Source organism: Homo sapiens, chromosome 4 (assembly GCF_000001405.40).
Source record: "Homo sapiens chromosome 4, GRCh38.p14 Primary Assembly".
NCBI lineage: Eukaryota > Metazoa > Chordata > Mammalia > Primates > Hominidae > Homo > Homo sapiens.
The window spans coordinates 88,453,242-88,472,730 of NC_000004.12; the positions used below are offsets into that span (position 1 = coordinate 88,453,242).

The 19,489-nt window shown below is 40.7% G+C and overlaps 1 protein-coding gene and 1 long non-coding RNA gene across 17 annotated transcripts in view, besides 1 other annotated feature; one reads left to right on the forward strand and one right to left on the reverse strand.

Moving 5' to 3' along the window:
- The window catches only part of LOC102723458 (uncharacterized), a 56,224-nt gene extending 41,759 nt beyond the window's left edge, over nucleotides 1-14,465 (reverse strand). For 10 of the 15 annotated variants that reach the window (XR_007058181.1, XR_007058178.1, XR_001741760.2 and 7 more), the window contains exon 1: nucleotides 1,977-3,672. This is a non-coding gene — a long non-coding RNA (uncharacterized LOC102723458). Of the gene's footprint in view, nucleotides 1-1,976; nucleotides 3,673-14,389 lie in introns of those variants that run through there. The other 5 variants (XR_007058182.1, XR_938971.2, XR_938976.3 and 2 more) reach the window with 4 other exon arrangements.
- Nucleotides 3,508-3,937: an enhancer, noted in NCBI's record as "active region_21715". NCBI's record gives its function as "activates an Ori minimal core promoter by ATAC-STARR-seq in GM12878 lymphoblastoid cells {active_cell/tissue: GM12878}" and the evidence as "EXISTENCE:reporter gene assay evidence [ECO:0000049][PMID:35858748]".
- Nucleotides 3,878-19,489, forward strand: part of HERC5 (HECT and RLD domain containing E3 ubiquitin protein ligase 5) — a 49,045-nt gene continuing 33,433 nt past the window's right edge. For both annotated transcript variants that reach the window (NM_016323.4, XM_011532022.3), the window contains exons 1-11: nucleotides 3,878-4,293; nucleotides 6,106-6,229; nucleotides 6,854-6,930; nucleotides 8,894-9,115; nucleotides 10,291-10,382; nucleotides 10,614-10,744; nucleotides 13,818-13,963; nucleotides 15,105-15,181; nucleotides 15,916-16,019; nucleotides 17,373-17,432; nucleotides 19,168-19,261. In NM_016323.4, coding sequence (NP_057407.2) covers nucleotides 4,029-4,293; nucleotides 6,106-6,229; nucleotides 6,854-6,930; nucleotides 8,894-9,115; nucleotides 10,291-10,382; nucleotides 10,614-10,744; nucleotides 13,818-13,963; nucleotides 15,105-15,181; nucleotides 15,916-16,019; nucleotides 17,373-17,432; nucleotides 19,168-19,261 — 1,392 coding nt within the window. In that variant the 5' untranslated portion in view covers nucleotides 3,878-4,028. The remainder of the gene's footprint in view (nucleotides 4,294-6,105; nucleotides 6,230-6,853; nucleotides 6,931-8,893; nucleotides 9,116-10,290; nucleotides 10,383-10,613; nucleotides 10,745-13,817; nucleotides 13,964-15,104; nucleotides 15,182-15,915; nucleotides 16,020-17,372; nucleotides 17,433-19,167; nucleotides 19,262-19,489) is intronic.

The following is a 19,489-nucleotide window of genomic DNA, read 5'->3' on the forward strand; positions in this document are numbered from 1 at the left end:
AAGCCAGTCCTTCATTTACATAGGATGTAACCCACAAGAAACCTCTAAAGGGTACTGAAGCCCCAGAAGACTTTGCTACCAGGGCTCTTGAATCACTTGCTTGAGCCCGCTCCCACCCTGTGGAATGTACTTTTGCCTTTGATCCTTCACTGTCTTCCACTTTCTTTTTTTTTTGAGAGGGAGTCTGGCTCTGTTGCCCAGGTTGGAGTGCCGTGGCGCGATCTCGGCTCACTGAAAGCTCCGCCTCCTGGGTTCACGCCATTCTCCTGCCTCAGCCTCCCAAGTAGCTGGGACTACAGGCGCCCGCCACCACACCCAGCTAATTTTTTTGTATTTTTAGTAGAGACGGGGTTTCACCGCGTTAGCCAGGATGGTCTCGATGTCCTGACCTCGTGATCCGCCCGTCTCGGCCTCCCAAAGTGCTGGGATTACAGGTGTGAGCCACTGCGCCCGGCCCACTATCTTCCACTTTCATAAATTCACTCCTTCACCGCTTGTTCATGTGTGTTGTTCAATTCTTTGTTCAATGTGCCAAGACCTGGACACCTCACCATCAGAACACTTAACCCAGAAACGAGATGAATGTGTTCATTCTTTTTTTTTTGAGTTCGATTGCACAGTGTGGTAAATATAATTAACAATACAGTATTGCACTTTTCAAAATACCGAAGAGATAAAATTTCAAATGTTTTCACCACAAAAATTGTTAAGTATTTGAGGTGATGGATGTGGGAACTAGCTTGATTTAATTATTCCACATTGTTATTCATAAATTATAAGATCACTTTGTTCCCCATAAATGTATACAATTATAAATTGCCAATTTACAATTTAAAAAAAGAGAATTAGTTGAAAAATGTTTGGATAAATAATAAAGTGATGAATCAAGAATAATTTTTTTTTAAGAGACGAGGTCTCACTATGTTGCCCAGGCTGGTCTTGAAATCCTGGGCTTAAGAAATTCTCCTGCCTTGCCTCCCAAGTGCTGGGATTACAGGTGTGAGCCAAGAATAATATTTTTAATAAAACAATGTTATGTAAAGCAACATTTCCTATATCCCTAACCTTGCTAGATATATATTTTATATTCAGGAATATCTCTAGAGTTTTTATTTTAGCAAAGTGCTGAATAATTTATTTGAAAAATCTGAATGTTAAGGGATTCATTAATTCATTGAATAATTACTTATAGTAGGTACTGTGTGGCAAGTACCATTCTAAAGGCACTAGCACTGGCAGGCCATCGACCAGCAGAACAATGCGGAGTTTGGCCAGGGCAGTCGGAGGACAGCCTGGGCCGCTGAGCGGCTCAACTCCAGGGGAAAACCAACTCCCTTCTGGCTCCCCCATCTGCTGAGAGCTACTTCCACTCAATAAAACCGTGCACTCATTCTCTAAGCCCACATGTGATACAATTCTTCTGGTACACCAAGGCAAGAACCTGGGATACAGAAAGTCTTCTGTCCTTGTGACAAGGTAGAGGGTCTAATTGAGCTGGTTAACACAAGTGCCTATAGACAGCAAAACTAAAAAAGCACACAGTAGCACAGCCCACTGGTGCTTCAGGAGCAGTAAACATCCACCCCTAGACACTGGCGTGGGGTTGGAGCCCCAAAACCTGCCTGTCTGTATGCTCCCCTAGAGGTGTGAGCAGTGGGGCACTGAAGAAGCGACCCACTCCCACTGCCGCATGCCCTACGAAGGGGACAAGGGAACCTTTCCCGTTTCATTGTTAGAGGTCAAAGCTTTTTCCATGGCACATGCCCAGTCTACATAACTTGCAGTTTTGGCTCTGTTATACCTACAGGGTAACTGGCCATTTTGTTATCAACAGAGTAGGGCCAGTTTGGGCTGGCTCTGAGGTTATAATATACGGCCAGCTGAGTTTTGACAGGGATGCCAAGGCAATTCCATGGGGATAGGCAAGCTGGAACGACTGGAAATCCATAAGGAAAAAAAAGAACCTTTATTCTTACCTCATACTGATGCAGGAATTTTTGCTCCTTAGCTCAGCTAAAATCCAGGTTCTTGTCTCATGACCAGGAACAATTAGGCATGTGAATACATTGCAAGGTGAAGAGTGGCATTTATTAAAAGCTCTTAGCAAAAAAACAAGGAGGGTCCTGCCAACAGGCTCCCAGCTCACAGACTGAATAACAGGCCAACACACACAAGCTGAAGACTTCTTGCTCATCCCTGCTGCATAAGGCTGAATTCCCTCTGGCTGCACCCCACTCTCCTGGTGCAGTGGGCCCCCAAGTCCCTTGTGGGCATGCCCAGACAAGACCCTGGGCAGGCTTCCTCAGCTGCACAAAAGCTTGTGAGGCAGGTCAGAGATTCTCCAGGGACCCTCCCTTATCTGCCTCCAGCATCTATCGATACTATAAAGAATAATTCATTTTAAATATAATGAAGACCAACAATTATAAAACTTCCAGAAGGTAACAAATGAGGAAATCTTATAATCTTGAATTTAGCAAAAATGTCTTAAGTAGGACAAAAAAGGTATGAACTATGTAAAAGAAAAAAATGGATAAATTACATCAAAATTGAAAACTTCAGTGCTTCAAAAGACACTTAAAATGAAGAGGCAAGCCACAGACAGGTAGAAAACATTTCAAAACGTATAGCTAATAAAGAACATGGTATGAAACATATAAAGAACTCAATAATATATAAAGAACTCTTAGATAAAAAGTCAAGCTAGCTAATAAATAAATGGTCAAAAGATTTGAATACACACTTCACAAAGAAGAGATCCTCCTGCCTTGGGCTAAAAAAGGGCTGGGGTTACAGGCAGGAGCCCAGGCCCAGCCTTGTCAGTTGATTTTCGGTGACCCTTCAGAGGGCAAAGGGGAAGTTTTCTCCTGTTCCCTACAACCGACAGGCCCATCAATTGGTGAATGGATAAATAAACTGTGGCTTACCCATATGATAGACTACCATTCAACAATAACACAAATGAATTACTAATTAAACACAATAGTATGAATCTCAAAGCATTGTGCTAAGTTAAAAAAGCCAGACATCACTTAGATATGGTTCCGTTTGTATGCATTCTAAAAAAGGCCTAAAGCACATCACTGTTGCCAGGCACCCGGGAATACGGGAATACGTAGCGGAGCGGGCACGAGGGGGGTGGGGGTGGGGGTAGGGGTGGGGGGGAGGGTAGCTGCCTGCATAGCTCTGCCCAGTTTTATGCCGGTTTCAGCCCGGCGCACAACGCATTTTTTTTTTTGATACATAGTCTCGCTCTGTCGCCCAGGCTGGAGTGCAGTGGCGCAATCTCGGCTCACTGCAAACTCCGCCTCCCGGGTTCCCGCCATTCTCCCACCTCAGCCTCCCGAGTAGCTGGGACTACAGGCGCCCGCCACCACGCCCAGCTAATTTTGTTTTTGTATTTTTAGTAGAGACGGGGTTTCACCGTGTTAGCCAGAATGGTCTCGATCTCCTGACGTCGTGATCCGCCCGCCTCGGCCCCCCAAAGTGCTGGGATTACAGGCGTGAATCACCGCGCCCGGCCGCGGCGCACAACGCTTAACAAACTTTGGCTTCCGTTATCCCTCCCTCTGGAAATGCGTGTGTCAGGGTGCCTCCTAGTGGAACTGCAGCGTTTCCTCGAAAGCCATTCCGTCCAGGAGTTAAGGTGGCCGCTGCCCGCCCGGGGACACTTTCTCAGTCCAGCCCATCGGCCTTTACCCCAGCCAACGACCTGTTGCCTTTGGCCGCCTGCCAAGTCACTCTCATTACAGTTTCCTTTTCCTTTTCGATTCCGCCCCCTAAAAACAACAACAAACATTATGTTTCGTTTTCCACTGGAGCTGCAGGCCCCGCCCCCAAACAGCACGTGGGGGGCGTGGCGTCCCGGCAGGGGCTCAGTAGCTGAGGCTGCGGTTCCCCGACGCCACGCAGCTGCGCGCAGCTGGTTCCCGCTCTGCAGCGCAACGCCTGAGGCAGTGGGCGCGCTCAGTCCCGGGACCAGGCGTTCTCTCCTCTCGCCTCTGGGCCTGGGACCCCGCAAAGCGGCGATGGAGCGGAGGTCGCGGAGGAAGTCGCGGCGCAACGGGCGCTCGACCGCGGGCAAGGCCGCCGCGACCCAGCCCGCGAAGTCTCCGGGCGCACAGCTCTGGCTCTTTCCCAGCGCCGCGGGCCTCCACCGCGCGCTGCTCCGGAGGGTGGAGGTGACGCGCCAACTCTGCTGCTCGCCGGGGCGCCTCGCGGTCTTGGAACGCGGCGGGGCGGGCGTCCAGGTTCACCAGCTGCTCGCCGGGAGCGGCGGCGCCCGGACGCCGAGTGAGTGGGGCTGGTGTGTGAGGGCTGTGAGGGCTGTGAGGGGTGAGGGCTGAGGGCTGTGAGGGGCGGGCAGCCGGGGGTCCGCGCCTGAGGGAGGAGAGCCCAGAAGGCCGCAGACGCGCGCCTGGCTCGGATAGTTTCGCCGACGGCGCACCTGAGCTGTCTTTTATCCCGGTCAGTGTCAGGCGCGGGGTGAGCGGGATACTGGCGACCAGCGGATCCTCCGCTCAGCAAAGTGGCCGGTGCGGGGCATGCGGGCACCGTCTTCATCCTTTTAGCCAGTCTGGCTTTCTCATAGGTTTCTGTTCAAGTTTGTACCCCCGTCCCCCGCCCGCCGCATCTCCCACTGTCTCGTTTTGAGAAAGTAGTCACTGCTCCAACTTTGGGAGTCGTTCTCAGTGATGGGATTTTACCTTGGCCTTCAGTTGCACTTCTCCCACATTCTCATCGAAGTGGGGGAAATAGTTGCCCGCGTTCTTTAAAATTTTGCCCATCTGTGGAGTGAAGAAATTGGTATCTTGCTGCGAGTTTATTTTGCGTTTAACTACTGGACGTTTGCGTTCCTTTTTCGGTAAATTGCCTGTTTATCTTTGCCTGGCTTTTAGAAATTTGAGTTGTTAAATCTTTTTCTTATTTGTATGGAAGAGGTATTTGAATATTGAATAAGAATAGCCTTTTGCACGTCGTACATGTAATATTTTTCTCACTTTGCCTTTTGTGCATGTTGTTTTTAGTGCATTTTTTGGGGGGTAGTCTGTCAATTTTTTTGTCTGTTAAGGCTTATGGGTTTTATGTTAGGCTGGAAAGCTATCCACACTCCCAGTGTTTTAAAAAATGTACTCATTTTTGTAGTAATTTTAAGGTTTTTTTTTTTAAGTTAAAATTTTTCGTACGCTTGGAATTTTCAGTACTGAGGTAGGAGGGGAGCTAGATTTATTTGCTTTTCCAAAGGCTTAGCCTATGTCCCAATACCATTTCTTAATACTTCCTTTTTTTCAACTGATTTGAAATGCTGAGACTCTTTAAAAGAAACCGTTAGTCTGCTGGACCATTTCTTATTACCAAACTGTTTTGGTTCCCCTAGCATTTGTAATATGGTTTGTGCTTTGAGATTTTTACACGAATAGATTCTATTTCATTAGCACTGAAGATGAAACAAGGTCCCAAAACTATCCTAGTTTAATTTTTGTGAACAAATTAAATAAGAGTACATTTTTACTAGTGGACAGTTTAATCTCTTAACTTCAGAAAGGGCCAAATGTGCACTAATGCCAATGAAAAATGTTTTCAACAGCATCCTCTTTAAAGATAGTCCCCCAAACATAATCCTTCCTTTTAAGAATATAGGCATTGGTTTCTATTGGTAACTGTCGGGAAGTGTTTATTACTGTTATTTGCTTTTTGGGAGAAAGGAATGTGTTTCAGAATACACTATTTGTTCTTGAAATGAGATTATGTTGTCTTAAAGTTATATTTTCTTATAGACCTTTTCATCTTTGTCATTTCAAATTTCGTTCGTCTTAATAAACAAGAACCTAAAAGCAGATATTTAATTGGATATTTTAAGGGTATGTTCCATTTACAACAAAGTATACATCAATATTTTTTCTAATTAAAAAAAATCTATGTCAAGACCGTTGTCTTTCCTGATTTGCTTTGCCTACCTGAATTTTCTTAAGAGAAGTTCATGGTAAGTCAAAGCTTGTCTAGTTGAAATTTTTCCCAGATGTTTTAAGTGTATTATAATGAAGTTAGTAATACAGTGGGTAATAATCAAAGTGACAATAGTTCCTGGTTGGATTTGCTCTGTAGAATGCATTAAATTAGGAAAAAACATGAAGATACATTCCGTGGACCAAGGAGCAGAGCACATGCTGATTCTCTCATCAGATGGAAAACCATTTGAGTATGACAACTATAGCATGAAACATCTAAGGTAGGGAACTTTTTTCTTTTATTAAAAATTAATTTTAATCAAAAGACAATAATAATTTCTGTAGGAAATATCTGATTCTTGTCCCCTGCTTTATATAGTAGCATCTTAAGTAAATAATAAATTCTGAACTGACCAGTAAAGTCCTTATGTCCCCCAGGGCAGGTATCATGTGTTGTTTTGGCATTTAAAGGAAATGATTAAATAGTCTGCCTAGCCCTAAATTGGACTTTCCTATTCATTAACTCATTTGATCCTCACAATAATCCTATAAGTTAAATTTCTGGAAATAAAAGTTTTTAACCTAGAAAAAATACACATTATCATGAAATAATTTGTGAGACTTTTCCCTAGTAGATTATATGAATTAGAACTCATTTTCATCTTGCATTTATTCCTGCATCCTAAAATTGTTTGCATAATATTTTATTATAATTATGTAATGCATATTTTTTCTTAATTAAAACATAGTATTTAAAAAATAATTTTAGATGTACTGAATGTGATGCAGTAAATTGAAAGTTTTTTCTTGAGCTTCATTTCTAATTAAATACTATTAATAGTTCTAAAATCCATGTTGTAACTTTCATTATGGTGATTAACACAAAGTGTATTTTCCTTCATCAGGTTTGAAAGCATTTTACAAGAAAAAAAAATAATTCAGATCACATGTGGAGATTACCATTCTCTTGCACTCTCAAAAGGTAATTTTTCTGTAATATTAATAGTTTTGTAGAAGTAATACCTGTGTGTATATGTGGAGCCAGTAGAATGTCTATATTTCACTTGTAACAGGACAGAAATACAGTTTTGAATTTGATATGGTTCCGAGTACGATTCTTAAAGTAAATACATAATGAGAGAATTCTTGGATCTGTAAAATGTTCAGGTTTCCAAAATTACTATTCCTAAATTTGGTTTCATGTTTTTATTTTTCAAGTACGAAACAGTGAAAATTTTCTGAATAATCAAAACTGTTTTCTCTACATCTGATCCAGGCCTGGGGCCACCCTTTTCCAGAAACTGCTTCCCTTTTCCTAACACCTTTCCAACTTCCACTCTTCCGGCTCAGAATCCCCTTTTGTGGCCAGGCTGCAGACCTCTGATACGTTTTAACATTGCTTTTGAATTCAAGGATCTCCCTAGCCCTGTAGTATTTCCCATTTTCTATCAGACACTGTCATGGTGGGAAATGGAAGCAGTGAATATGAATTATTTCCTAAAGAAACTTGACTATGAGGCCAGGCTTGGTGGCTAATGCCTATAATCCCAGCACTTTGGGAGGCTGAGGTGGGAGGATCACTTGTAGCCAGGAGTTTGAGACCAGCCTGGACAACATGGGGAGACTTCATCTTTACAAAAAAACTTAAAAATTAGCTGGGCATGGTGGCTTCCACCTGTAGTCCCAGCTACTTGGGAGGGTGAGGCAGGAGGATCCCTTGAGCCCAGGAGTTTGAGGCTGCAGTGAGCCATGATCGTGCCACTGCACTACAGCCTGGGTAACTGAGCGAGACCCTGTCTCAAAAAAAAAGAAACTTACTGTGAATGGAATAATTAAGATAGAAGTAGGGTAATAGAGGGGAATTCGAAGTCAAGGGAATTTTTGTTAATATATAGGACAGATGTAAACATGTTCATAAACTGAATAGAATCTGGGATTCAAGGGAAGTTAATAATTAGTGAGTATTTGACCTTCATTGCAAGGCCTGTTGAGATTTGATAGTATGAACTTGTATTGGAAGAAATTGATCATTTGACTTCATTCATTCATGAACAAATATTTCATATTATCTACTGTGTTCGGATTATGAAGATGAAACACACAAGCCCTGCCTTTAAGAAGCCCAGGGTCTAGAGGCGTGTATGTACAAGGGTAAAGGGATATTCAGAGTTTATTACTAGTAAATCACAGTACAGAAAGAATAAAAGTTGGGGAAGCAAGAAAAGAAACTGGTCATGCTCATCATTATATTCCTGGTGGTTGACAGGTGCATGAAAATTGTGTGTGAAGGAGAGGCTCTGCTTCCCACCACATCCTGCACAATATCTTGCAAAGAGATTCCAGTAAACCTTAATTCTCTGGTGTATTTTTTTAGACTCTATTAGATATTGTCAGCTCTATCAGATAACATCTAAGAACGCTCCCTAAAAAATGTGCTCCATATATTCAGTTAATGGAAGAAGAAACTGACTCGTTCAAGAAACTGTAATTTGAAATTAATTTTACAGTTGTTTATTTGGGATCTTGTAATTTCAAATGAATTTTACAGTTGTTTATTTGGGATCATTAGGCACATGAGAGAAAACAGTAGCGCTGGGGTTTTTCATAGAGGTAGATTGCTTCTGTTTTTCATGGGCCCGTCCTCTGAGTGTTTTAAAGTAAATATTTCTTGAATTTGATTTATAATCAAATTTATTATGTTGAAGATATTATTTAATATGTTCAAATAGCTTCACTTTTGAAGTGAGGGATAAGGAAGTGTAACTGTCACTGCTAAAGAGAAGATTCTGTGTTTTTCTGTGGCAGACATAGGGTAACTGAGAGTACCATCAGTGCAAAGGTACAATATTGTGATATTATACTAGGTAGAGCATGCATAATGCTTTAGGGTAATGTCTGCTGCATTTTAAATGGAATAAAACAGCATTTGCTTTGTTTATGTCAAGGTGGTGAGCTTTTTGCCTGGGGACAGAACCTGCATGGGCAGCTTGGAGTTGGAAGGAAATTTCCCTCAACCACCACACCACAGATTGTGGAGCACCTCGCAGGAGTACCCTTGGCTCAGATTTCTGCCGGAGAAGCCCACAGCATGGCCTTATCCATGTCTGGCAACATTTATTCATGGGGAAAAAATGAATGTGGACAACTAGGCCTGGGCCACACTGAGAGTATGGAACACATTCTCAGATTCCTATTACCAACAGATATACTTGTTAGATGAATTTAATGGACCTCCCTGTCAAAAATGGTTCAAATCTTCACTTTCATTTTCACTGCTCTTCCTGATTACCTCTCTGTCTTCAGGGCAGAATCAGTCCAAGAGGCATACATAGTGTGGAAGTTGTTACTGTAATTGAGACATGTTTCAGGGCTGTGTGTGAGACGGGAAAGGGCATTGAATTAGGGATGAGAACCTGGATTCTGATTCCCACTTTGCAGTTTACTAACTGCAAGCCTTGCCCAGTCACTAAACTTTTCTCTAGACCTCATTTTCTTTTTCTGTCAAGTGACAAGTTTGGATGAGATGACCTTTAAAGCCTTTGCACTTAAAGTCTGTTAGTGTATTATTACAAAAGAATACTAAAATTATATTTAAGAACTCACATATCCTGATCTTATTCTATAAGGTATCAATTATGTCTGTAAACACACATGAAGAAACATGTAATTTCCATTATTGAACAAAGCTGATGGTGAAATTTCTCATGATCCCAAACAACTCATTAAGAGTTTTCAGGTGTAAGAAATTCTGCTGCTTTACCCAGCTGTGGTACTGTATGCATTACCCTGGATCACTGGTTACTCATTTCTCCCTGACACAGTGCAATGGTCATTACACAGAATAGCCCATAAGTCAGTGTTAGAAAAATATTCAAAGGAGAGAAGAGAATAAAGCGGCCATTAAACTACTTTGGCTGAATCTCTGAGTGCTTTTGACATGAAAATAATCATGAAGAAAAGAAGAGGTAGTGTCAGGTGATGACACTAGTAGATAATTTGAAAGAAAGGAATTGCTATGTTCATTAAAAGTAATTCTAGATGGCTGTTGGAAATATCTAATGTGCTGCAATTAAAGTGAATCAAGTCATAACTGAGAACAGGCTTTGGGAAGTGGTTTGACCCTTTCACAGGTGGGTGCCCCTAAGTGTGATCCTTTTGGCCACTGGTCCCACCTTCACCCTGAGGCGTAGAACTTGATCCTAAACATGGCAACATAGAGCCTTTCTTGTCAGAATATCATGAGAACTGTTGTCGCTGGGTTGAGAAGCAGCAGTCCAGGTAACTCCACTGTGAAACTCAGCATTTCCTTTTGGTCACTTCAGCTATTTTTTTCCTTACATAGGTAAAGATGATCCATCCCTTATTGAAGGACTAGACAATCAGAAAGTTGAATTTGTCGCTTGTGGTGGCTCTCACAGTGCCCTACTCACACAGGTGGGTGTACCCTTGTCTCTTTTTGGCTGTATTTTTAGAAGAACAGTTTGTATGGGAAGTTAGTGTTTCCCAGAGAAGAAAGGTCATCACTTCCTGTATGTAGGACTGTCCTTCTGATATTTAGGAGCTTTACTTTGACAGTGCTATTTATTAGTGATTCACTTTGCATCAGTGAATACTACTTTTTTATTTTATTTTTCTAGCATCTGATATGACATTCCCTTTCCTTAGGATGGGCTGCTGTTTACTTTCGGTGCTGGAAAACATGGGCAACTTGGTCATAATTCAACACAGAATGAGCTAAGACCCTGTTTGGTGGCTGAGCTTGTTGGGTATAGAGTGACTCAGATAGCATGTGGAAGGTAAGTTGTAAAGTATCAATAAGAATTGATAAAATGAGTGCAGCAAACTAGATAGTAATTTAATAAAATTTCTTTCAGTTTCTTTGAGATGTATCAAACATTTTCAAATCAGTGAAAATGCTTAATTTATATTATTTAGATAAATGTAATACCCCTTTTACTATACATGGTTGTTTTCTTTGATTTTTTTTTTTTTTTTTTTTTTTAAATGAGCAGATACAATTCACTTTCTGCTGTCTCCTTAGTGAAATACCTTTGTAACTATTCAGGTGCACTTTTGTCTTAAAAAAACAAGTCATTAATTGTTTATTTGGGAAAAATAAAATGTAAATCACAAAGGATTATTCATTAAATGTAATCACCCTCTCTGACAATGCCTTGTGGCCAACATACTTTTTAATTACCAGAGTTCTTTCATTGTAGCCTGCCCTGATCACAGTAAAGTATAAGACATAGTCAGTGATGGTTTGAGTGAAATATTCCTAAGAAGTTTAATTTTCACAGCTCCTTTTTAGAAAAGAAAGGTAAAATGTCTTGCTCAGACTCCTTAGTTTATTTAAAGGTTTTTTGGTTTTCTTGTTTGTTTGTTTGTTTGTTTTTTGGTTTTTGGTTTTTTTTTTTGAGGCAGAGTATTGCTTTGTTGCCCAGGCTGGAGTGCAGTGACGCAATCTCAGCTCACTGCAACCTCCGCCTCCCAGGCTCAGGTTATTCTCCCACCTCAGCCTCTGGAATAGCTAGGATTACAGGCGTGCACTGCCACAACTGGCTAATTTTTAAATTTTATTTATTTATTATTTTTTTTTGAGACGGAGTCTCGCTCTGCTGCAAAGGCTGGAGTGCGGTGGCGCAATCTCGGCTCACTGCAAGCTCCGCCTCCTGGGTTCACACCATTCTTCTGCCTCAGCCTCCGGAGTAGCTGGGACTACAGGCGCCCGCCACCACGCCTGGCTAATTTTTTGTATTTTTAGTAAAGACGGGGTTTCACTGTGTTAGCCAGGATGGTCTCGATGTCCTGACCTTGTGATCCACCTGCCTCGGCCTCCCAAAGTGCTGGGATTACAGGCATGAGCCACTGCACCTGGCCACAACCGGCTAATTTTTGTATTTTTAGTAGAGTCGGGGTTTCACCGTGTTGGCCAGGCTGGTCTTGAACTCCTGACCTCAGGTGATCTGCTCGCCTTGACCCCTCAGAGTGTTGGGATTACAGGGGTGAGCCACCACGCCACTATTTAATTTTTTTGATTATCAGATATATCAGTCCACGTCTTGCCAGAGGGATGTTGGAAGTTGGTAGGATTAAAAAATATTTTCCCCCATATACACTTATTCTTTTGGGCAGTTTTTCCCTCACTAAACGTAGAGCAAAATTCAGACTGTATTTGAATGCTGGGTTCATTTGTTAGTTTACTGAAACCATTCTTATAAAAAACTAGCATGAATACTTTCAGTCTGTAGGCATATTTTCTTATGATCTTGGAGTAGAATTACATAAATGGGTAATATTATTAAGGTAGACCAAATTATCGGAATATGAGTCTCTTCACCAAAGAAGCGTTCTCTTCAATATTTATACCTCATTCGGTATCTCTTAACCAAAGCAGTCTTATCACCTCTTTGGATTCTTCATTACATACAGTCCTTTTGAGTAGCATGTATTACAAGAGAAGGAGGCAAGTTGGAGATCTGTCTTAATGCACATCAGGGCAATACCCCTACTAACAGGACAATTCACTGGAAAGACTCACGAACTTACTAAAAGCTATTATGCTCATAGTCACATTTATTACAAGAAAAGGATACAAACTAGTACCAGTCAAAGGAAGACACATAAGGGCAGGGTATAGGAGGGCTGCAAATGCTGAGCTTGTGGCTGTCACCTCCCCTTGGAGCAGGTGGATGGTGTTATCTCTTCTGGCCTGATAATGTGACAGGACATACAGAATTTGCCAGCCAATCAGAGAAATTCACCCAAGTTGAGAGTTGTTTTTGTTTTTTCTGGTTTTTTTATTTTGGAGACAGGGTACAGGATGTACATAATCTGCCATCTAGTCAGAGGAGTTCACCCAAGTCAAGACCAAGTCAAGAGTTGTTTTTGGTTTGGTGGTTTTTTTTTTTTTTTGAGACAAGGTCTCACTCTGTCACCCAGGCTGGACTGCAGTGGTGCTATCATGGCTTACTGCAGCCTTGACCTCCCAGGCTCAAGCAATCCTCCTGCCTCAGCCTCCTGAGTAGCTGGGACCACAGGTCCACCATGCCCAGCTAATTTTTAAATTTGTTGTAGAGATAGGGTCTCCTTATATTGGCCAGGCTGGTCTTAAACTTCTGGGTTCAAAGTATCCTACTGCCTTGGCCTCCCAAAGTGCTGGGATTACAGGCATGAGCCACCACACCCCACCTAAATTGAGGGGTTTTATTGCTGAGGCATGATTGGTTAAATCATTGCCCGGATAGTTAAACTTAATCTCCAGCACTGCCCTCCTGTAGGTCTGATTTACATCACAGGCCAGGAGAGCTCTCCCAGGATCCTGCCATGAATAATAAAGACTCTCCTCTATCACTTGGGGAATTCTGTGGGTTTAGAGGTTACCTCCTAGGAACAGGGCACCAGCCAGACCTCTCTGGGCAAGGCAGATTCCTTGCTACACAACAGTATAGTGGAATATACAAACCAGCAAATCAATAGGAAAATCAGTGTGGTAAAGGTCTTTGAGAAATTAAGTGGGAACTCAACTGAGTCTTCCAGGATGGAAAGTGAAGGGACTCAGAGATGGTTTCCAAGAGGTGGTGACTCAAACTGATGTTGAAAAATGAGCAGAGGGCAAGGGGAGGTGCTTGTTTCAACAAAGGGAACACCATTTGCCAAAGTATGACATCATGGTCTTGAGTGGCCTTTGGGTTCCAAAGTCTTTTCAGGTACATGTTGATTTCTTGGTTTCCAGATGATTTTCATCCTCTAAGAGATGTTTAGTTTCACTCTCACTGGGTAACATAGTTTTGGCAATTTACTGTATTGCTAAACACTCTCATCATTGTGGATAATTAAGAATTGACCATATGTGCTTTTATTTAATAGGTGGCACACACTTGCCTATGTTTCTGATTTGGGAAAGGTCTTTTCCTTTGGTTCTGGAAAAGATGGACAACTGGGAAATGGTGGAACACGTGACCAGCTGATGCCGCTTCCAGTGAAAGTATCATCAAGTGAAGAACTCAAACTTGGTAAATTCTATAGGAACATAGGGTTTGGCATAGTATCTTTTTAGAGAAAATGATTTTTCTAACTAGGTAATGTGGCAAAGAAAGCAACATATGACTATGAAGGGAGTTTCTCTAAATACTGGTTTCATTTTTTACTGGTAAACAATTCAAGAGTCAGTCTAATTTACTGAGGCAAAATAATTATTCTATATTACTCCTTCAGATTAGGATTAATGTGAATTTAAATGATAAAATAGACAATGGATTCAGAGGCATATGCAGCTCTCATTCCAGTTTGCAAGAGACTTACTAATTCTTGTAATTAGTTGTTTACTAATTCTTGTAATTGGCTGGTTGCCCTGGTTAAGTTGATCCACAGTCATATAAAACCCTCAGAATAATGAGCAATCAACGTATACCTGGCACTGAACTGTGCTCAGCACTTACTTGTGTTATCTCACCAATCCTTGTAACAGTTCCTGGGAGGTGTATTCTGTCACTCCTCTTTTACTGGAGGATAAAGAGACTTGGAGAGAAAAGGGTTAGCCACTTAATCATGGCCAGTAAGTGGTTTGTCTGGAGTTGAACCCGTGCCCTTTATGACCTCAGAGTCTGAGCTCTGAAACACTCCATTGTAGAAGCACCTTGGAGCATTTCTGTTACTTGTTTCTGAAAGCTTAGTGGTGACCTCAAGTAACAAAATCTACTCATTTCTTGTAGGAAAACGAACAGAGTTATTTCCTTAAGCAGCATGTATTATCTTTGATTCCTTATAACAGTTACATGGGCTTAAAGTACTTATATTCTTTATAGCCAGCAGTCATTGCTTAAATCTTGAAAACATGGTTTTTAGTAATGGGAGTTGAATTAAACTGATAACATTTAGCTAATCAAATATTTGCATTTTATATATAAATATTTGTATTATGTATATTAAACTGATGTCACATGTCCACCTTGTGAATTACCTATGTTTGCCAACTAGACTTTACTCCAAAGGATATGTATTTCAGCTGCTTAATTGGCAGAAAATGTACTAAGTTTTGTCTATTAAGAAGAAAAGATGACTACGTTTAAGAAGAATCTGAAGTTATTTAAATTGAACATGCATGTTTGTGCCAAATGACTTTCTAAAACTCTTACTCTTTGTGCATCCTTTCAGAAAGCCATACCTCAGAAAAGGAGTTAATAATGATTGCTGGAGGGAATCAAAGCATTTTGCTCTGGATAAAGAAAGAGGTAAAAATAGATCTCCAGGTGTTCTATAACCTGGTATTTTAAGCAAAACTAAGGGTTCTAGTATCCCAGTTTGGTGAATTCCAAAATCATCAGTTTACCAGGCTGACTTTTTGGGGGATAGCTGGACATTACTGATCCTTTATTGTCTAAACTACATCAGTATTTTCCCACAAAAATCAGCAGATTTTTCTCTGGTGAATGTCTAATCAGTGTGATTTCCATAGGCTATACTTACCTTTTGGGGGCTACTTGCCAATGATGTTTGGTCAGTATCCTTGCAAACAACAGAGTGACAGATTCTAAAAATGACTTTGCAGGCCAGTACTAAGAAAGACACCAAGGTTCATGGGCTTGCAAATAAAAAGTCCATAACTTCCCTGCCCTACTTCACCAAGTGAAATCGAGTTCCTCACACTTCTGCACACAGCTCTTTCAGGATCTTCCCTTCCCTTCAAGGCTGTCTGATGTTCAGTTTAATTTGATTGTATTTGTATAAAGTGCTGAGTGTTGAGTCCTCAAAGAAATTTACTTTCAGTCTAAGCCCCCTTGGACAAGAAAGTGGCAACCAGGCAAATGATTGATTACTTATTTGTTGAGTATCACTTTGTGATTGTCCCAGGGCTGTATTACACATATTTAAAAGTCAGTTTTACTCTCTAGAGTGTACCTAAAAGTTGGGTGCCTATCTCTGATGTGTCTAAATTATTGTATTTTACTTTCCTGTTTGTTTACAGAATTCATATGTTAATCTGAAGAGGACAATTCCTACTCTGAATGAAGGGACTGTAAAGAGATGGATTGCTGATGTGGAGACTAAACGGTGGCAGAGCACAAAAAGGTACACCCCACAGTCTGACTCTCTGCTTATATATCACTCTCAAGTATCATTTCCCAAACTGGTTCTGCACAGCAATATGAGATTTTGTAGTCAGGGTTTTCCAGAGAAACAAACTCATAGGATATGTGTGTATTTCTGTCTCTATCTTTATCTCTATCATGTCTGTCTGTCCATCTATGTATCTATGGAGGGGAGAGAGAGAGATTATTTTAAGGAATTGGCTTATGAGATTGTAGGGGCTGGCAAGTCCAAAATCTGTAGGGCAGGCCAGCAGGCTGGAGACTTGGGGAGGAGTTGATGTTGCAGCTCAAGTCTGAAGGCAATCTAAAAGCAGAATTTCCTCTTCTTTGGGTGACCTCAGCCTTTTCTCTTAAGGCCTTCAACTGGATGAGGCTCACTCACATTATGGAAGGTCCTTTCTTTTTATTCACTTGTTCAAGTGCTTTACTCAGTTTACCATTTTAAATGTTAATCTCATCTAAAAAAATACTTTCATAGAAACATCCAGAATAATATTTGACCAAATATCTTGGTACCATGGCCTAGCCAAGTTGACATATAAAACTAACCCATCACAACTAGCATGTAAGCGCCATGAGGACAGCTTTCTTTACTGTAGGGCTTCTCCAGGCCTCTGTTTATGTATATTGTGACTCTCTGGCCAGAAAATAGAGTCTATAGTGTTTCCCAGTCCCATTTGATCCTGGAACCATTAGTTTGTGTACCTGTTATTCTTAGCTGAACAATTTGTACCATTCTTCTCTAAACCATAGAACTCCTATAGGTTTACAGAACTCCTACCTATTCTTACAAACATCATCTTTTAGAAATATTTTTAGGTATGGCTTTCTAATTCTGGAAAATGATTGTACAAAGTAGTTGCACAAAATAGTTGCATCATAATTTGCAGAGCATAAATAATTAAGAACTGTACAACTACTTCTAAGATGAAACTGAGCATACTCCTTCCCCCATTTAATTTCTGGTAATTTATTTCTACTTCAGTGGAATAGAAATAAATAGGACTTGCATAGTTGGTGGGGTGGGAGTATTTTGTTTGTTCAAGAAAGTTCTGACCATAAATCAAGCCTTTCCTCTTTATTTGAGGCTTCTCTGAGTATGTATAAACTTTTTTATTTCCCATGTTTGCCACTGAAATTTTGAGATTTACCAAACAGAATGGACTTTTAGAAGCCAAGCCAAGGTAATATGCATACAGATAGGAGACAAATGGAGAGGTTGGAAGGATAGTTATAAGATGTGGTATTTATCATGTCTCATGCTGTAAAGAAAGAGGCTGTATGTATGTATACCATGTGATTTGGTTTAACCAGTGTCTTATTACTAATATAGGGAAATCCAAGAGATATTTTCATCTCCTGCTTGTCTAACTGGAAGTTTTTTAAGGAAAAGGTAATATATGTAATAAATTAATTGTATTAAATTGTATTAAGAGTACCGTGAAAGAGGATAAAAAAATGATTGGAGAGTAAAATAGCTGTGTGTTCATCCCTTTTTAAAAATTTTTTTTAACAAAAGTAAATATATGTTTGCTGTAGAAAATGTCAAAAATACACACAATAAAAAGAAAGTGAAAATCTTCCATAATCCATCACTTAAGAGTAATAGCTAGCACTTACGTATATGATTATATTTTTTCATGCAAATGTATTCTTTTAAAAAAAATGAGATCATACTGGTTCTTTGTTTTTTTCTTTTTTTTTTTGAGACAGGGTCTTGCCCTGTCGTTGCCCATGCTTTAATGCAGTTCTGTGATCTTGGCTCATTGTAACCTCTGCCTCCTAGGCTCAAGCAGTCCTCCCACCTCAGCCTGAGTAGCTGGGGCTTCAGACACATGGCACTACACCCAGCTAATTTTTGTATTTTTTTGTAGAGCCAGAGTTTTACCATGTTGGCCAGGCTGGTCTCGAACTCCTGAGCTCAGGCAATCTACCAGCCTTGGCCTCCCCAAGTGCTGGGATTTCAGGTGTAAGCCACCATGCCCAGCTGGATCATATTGTTTATACATTGTTTTCTACCTAATATTTGCCCATTTTACATTTTATTCTATCTTTTTTGGTAATTTTTTTTTTTTTGAGACAAGGTCTCACTCCATCACCCAGGCTGGAGTTACAGCATCTTGGTTCTTGGGCTCAAGCATCATCAAACTCTTGGGCTCAAGCAAAACTCCCACCTTAGCCTTCCACGTAGCTGGGACTACAGGCACGTGCCACCACCTCCTGCTAATTTTTTAGCTTTTGTAAAGACAGCAGCTTTGCTATGTTGCCCAGGCTGGTCTTGAACTCCTGGCCTCAAGCAGTCCTCCCACCTCAGCCTCCTGGTGTTGGGATTATAGGTGTGAGCTACCGCACCCAGCCGGTAACATAATTTAATGGCTGCATGACCTTCCATTAGAAGGTCTTCCATGAGAAGATACTTAAACATTTCATTAATAACTTTATATTGAAGTACTAAGAAATTATTGGTCAGAAGCCCTCTCTTTTGGTTCCCACTTTTCAGTCCATTTAACGGGAAGAAATGGATGTATTTTTTAGAAATGGGAAAAATGTTTATCTTTTTTCTGTCTTCCTTCCTTCCTTCCTGTGGTCAGTCCTTTCTTCCTTCCTTCCTTCCTTCGAAAAACCTTTATCTTTTTTCTATGGCCCGCCCTTCTTCCCTCCCTTCTTTCCTCCCTCCCTCCCTCCCTCCTTCCCTTCCTTCTTTCTTTTCTTTTTTTCTTTCTTTCTTTTTCTGAGGCAGGATCTTGCTCTGTCACCCAGGCTGGAGTACAGTGGCATGTTCACAACTCACTGCAGCCTTGATCTCTCAAGCTCAAGCGATTATCCTGTCTCAGCCTCCCTCTGTGGCTATTTTTTTTAAACTGGGAAATATTAATTTTTTTAATCTATTACAGATAAGACAGCATCTGAGTTAAAGTCTTATGGTATATACAGTTAAAGCAGCCTTGATATTTTTTGGTATTTTAGAAAAAATCATGTTTACTACATTGCATTTGGATTTAGACAATTTATTATAGTTACACACTTGAGAAAAAAGGTAATTTTGTTGAAATGGGGCAAGCTCTAGAAGAAACTTTGCATCTAGGGAGATAATCTAACAAAATACTTAATTTATCTTTCTTCTACAGAAGAACTACAGAAATGATGCCTGTTTATTTGGACTTAAATAAAGCAAGAAACATCTTCAAGGAGTTAACCCAAAAGGACTGGATTACTAACATGGTATCTTCAGATTGTTATGTGGAGAAAGAAAATACACCAGAATATTTCTTAAAAGAACTCAAAATTTCAGAAGAAATGTTTTGTGTTAAGGGATTCTCCGAGACCTTGTAGCATATTCAGATTAAGTTAAACTCAGATAACATTTAGGAGTTTGCCCTTTTAGGGTGAAATAGTTGGCATAGTAGTCACACAGGTTACAGATATTCTAAATAGTGTGTCTGTACACAA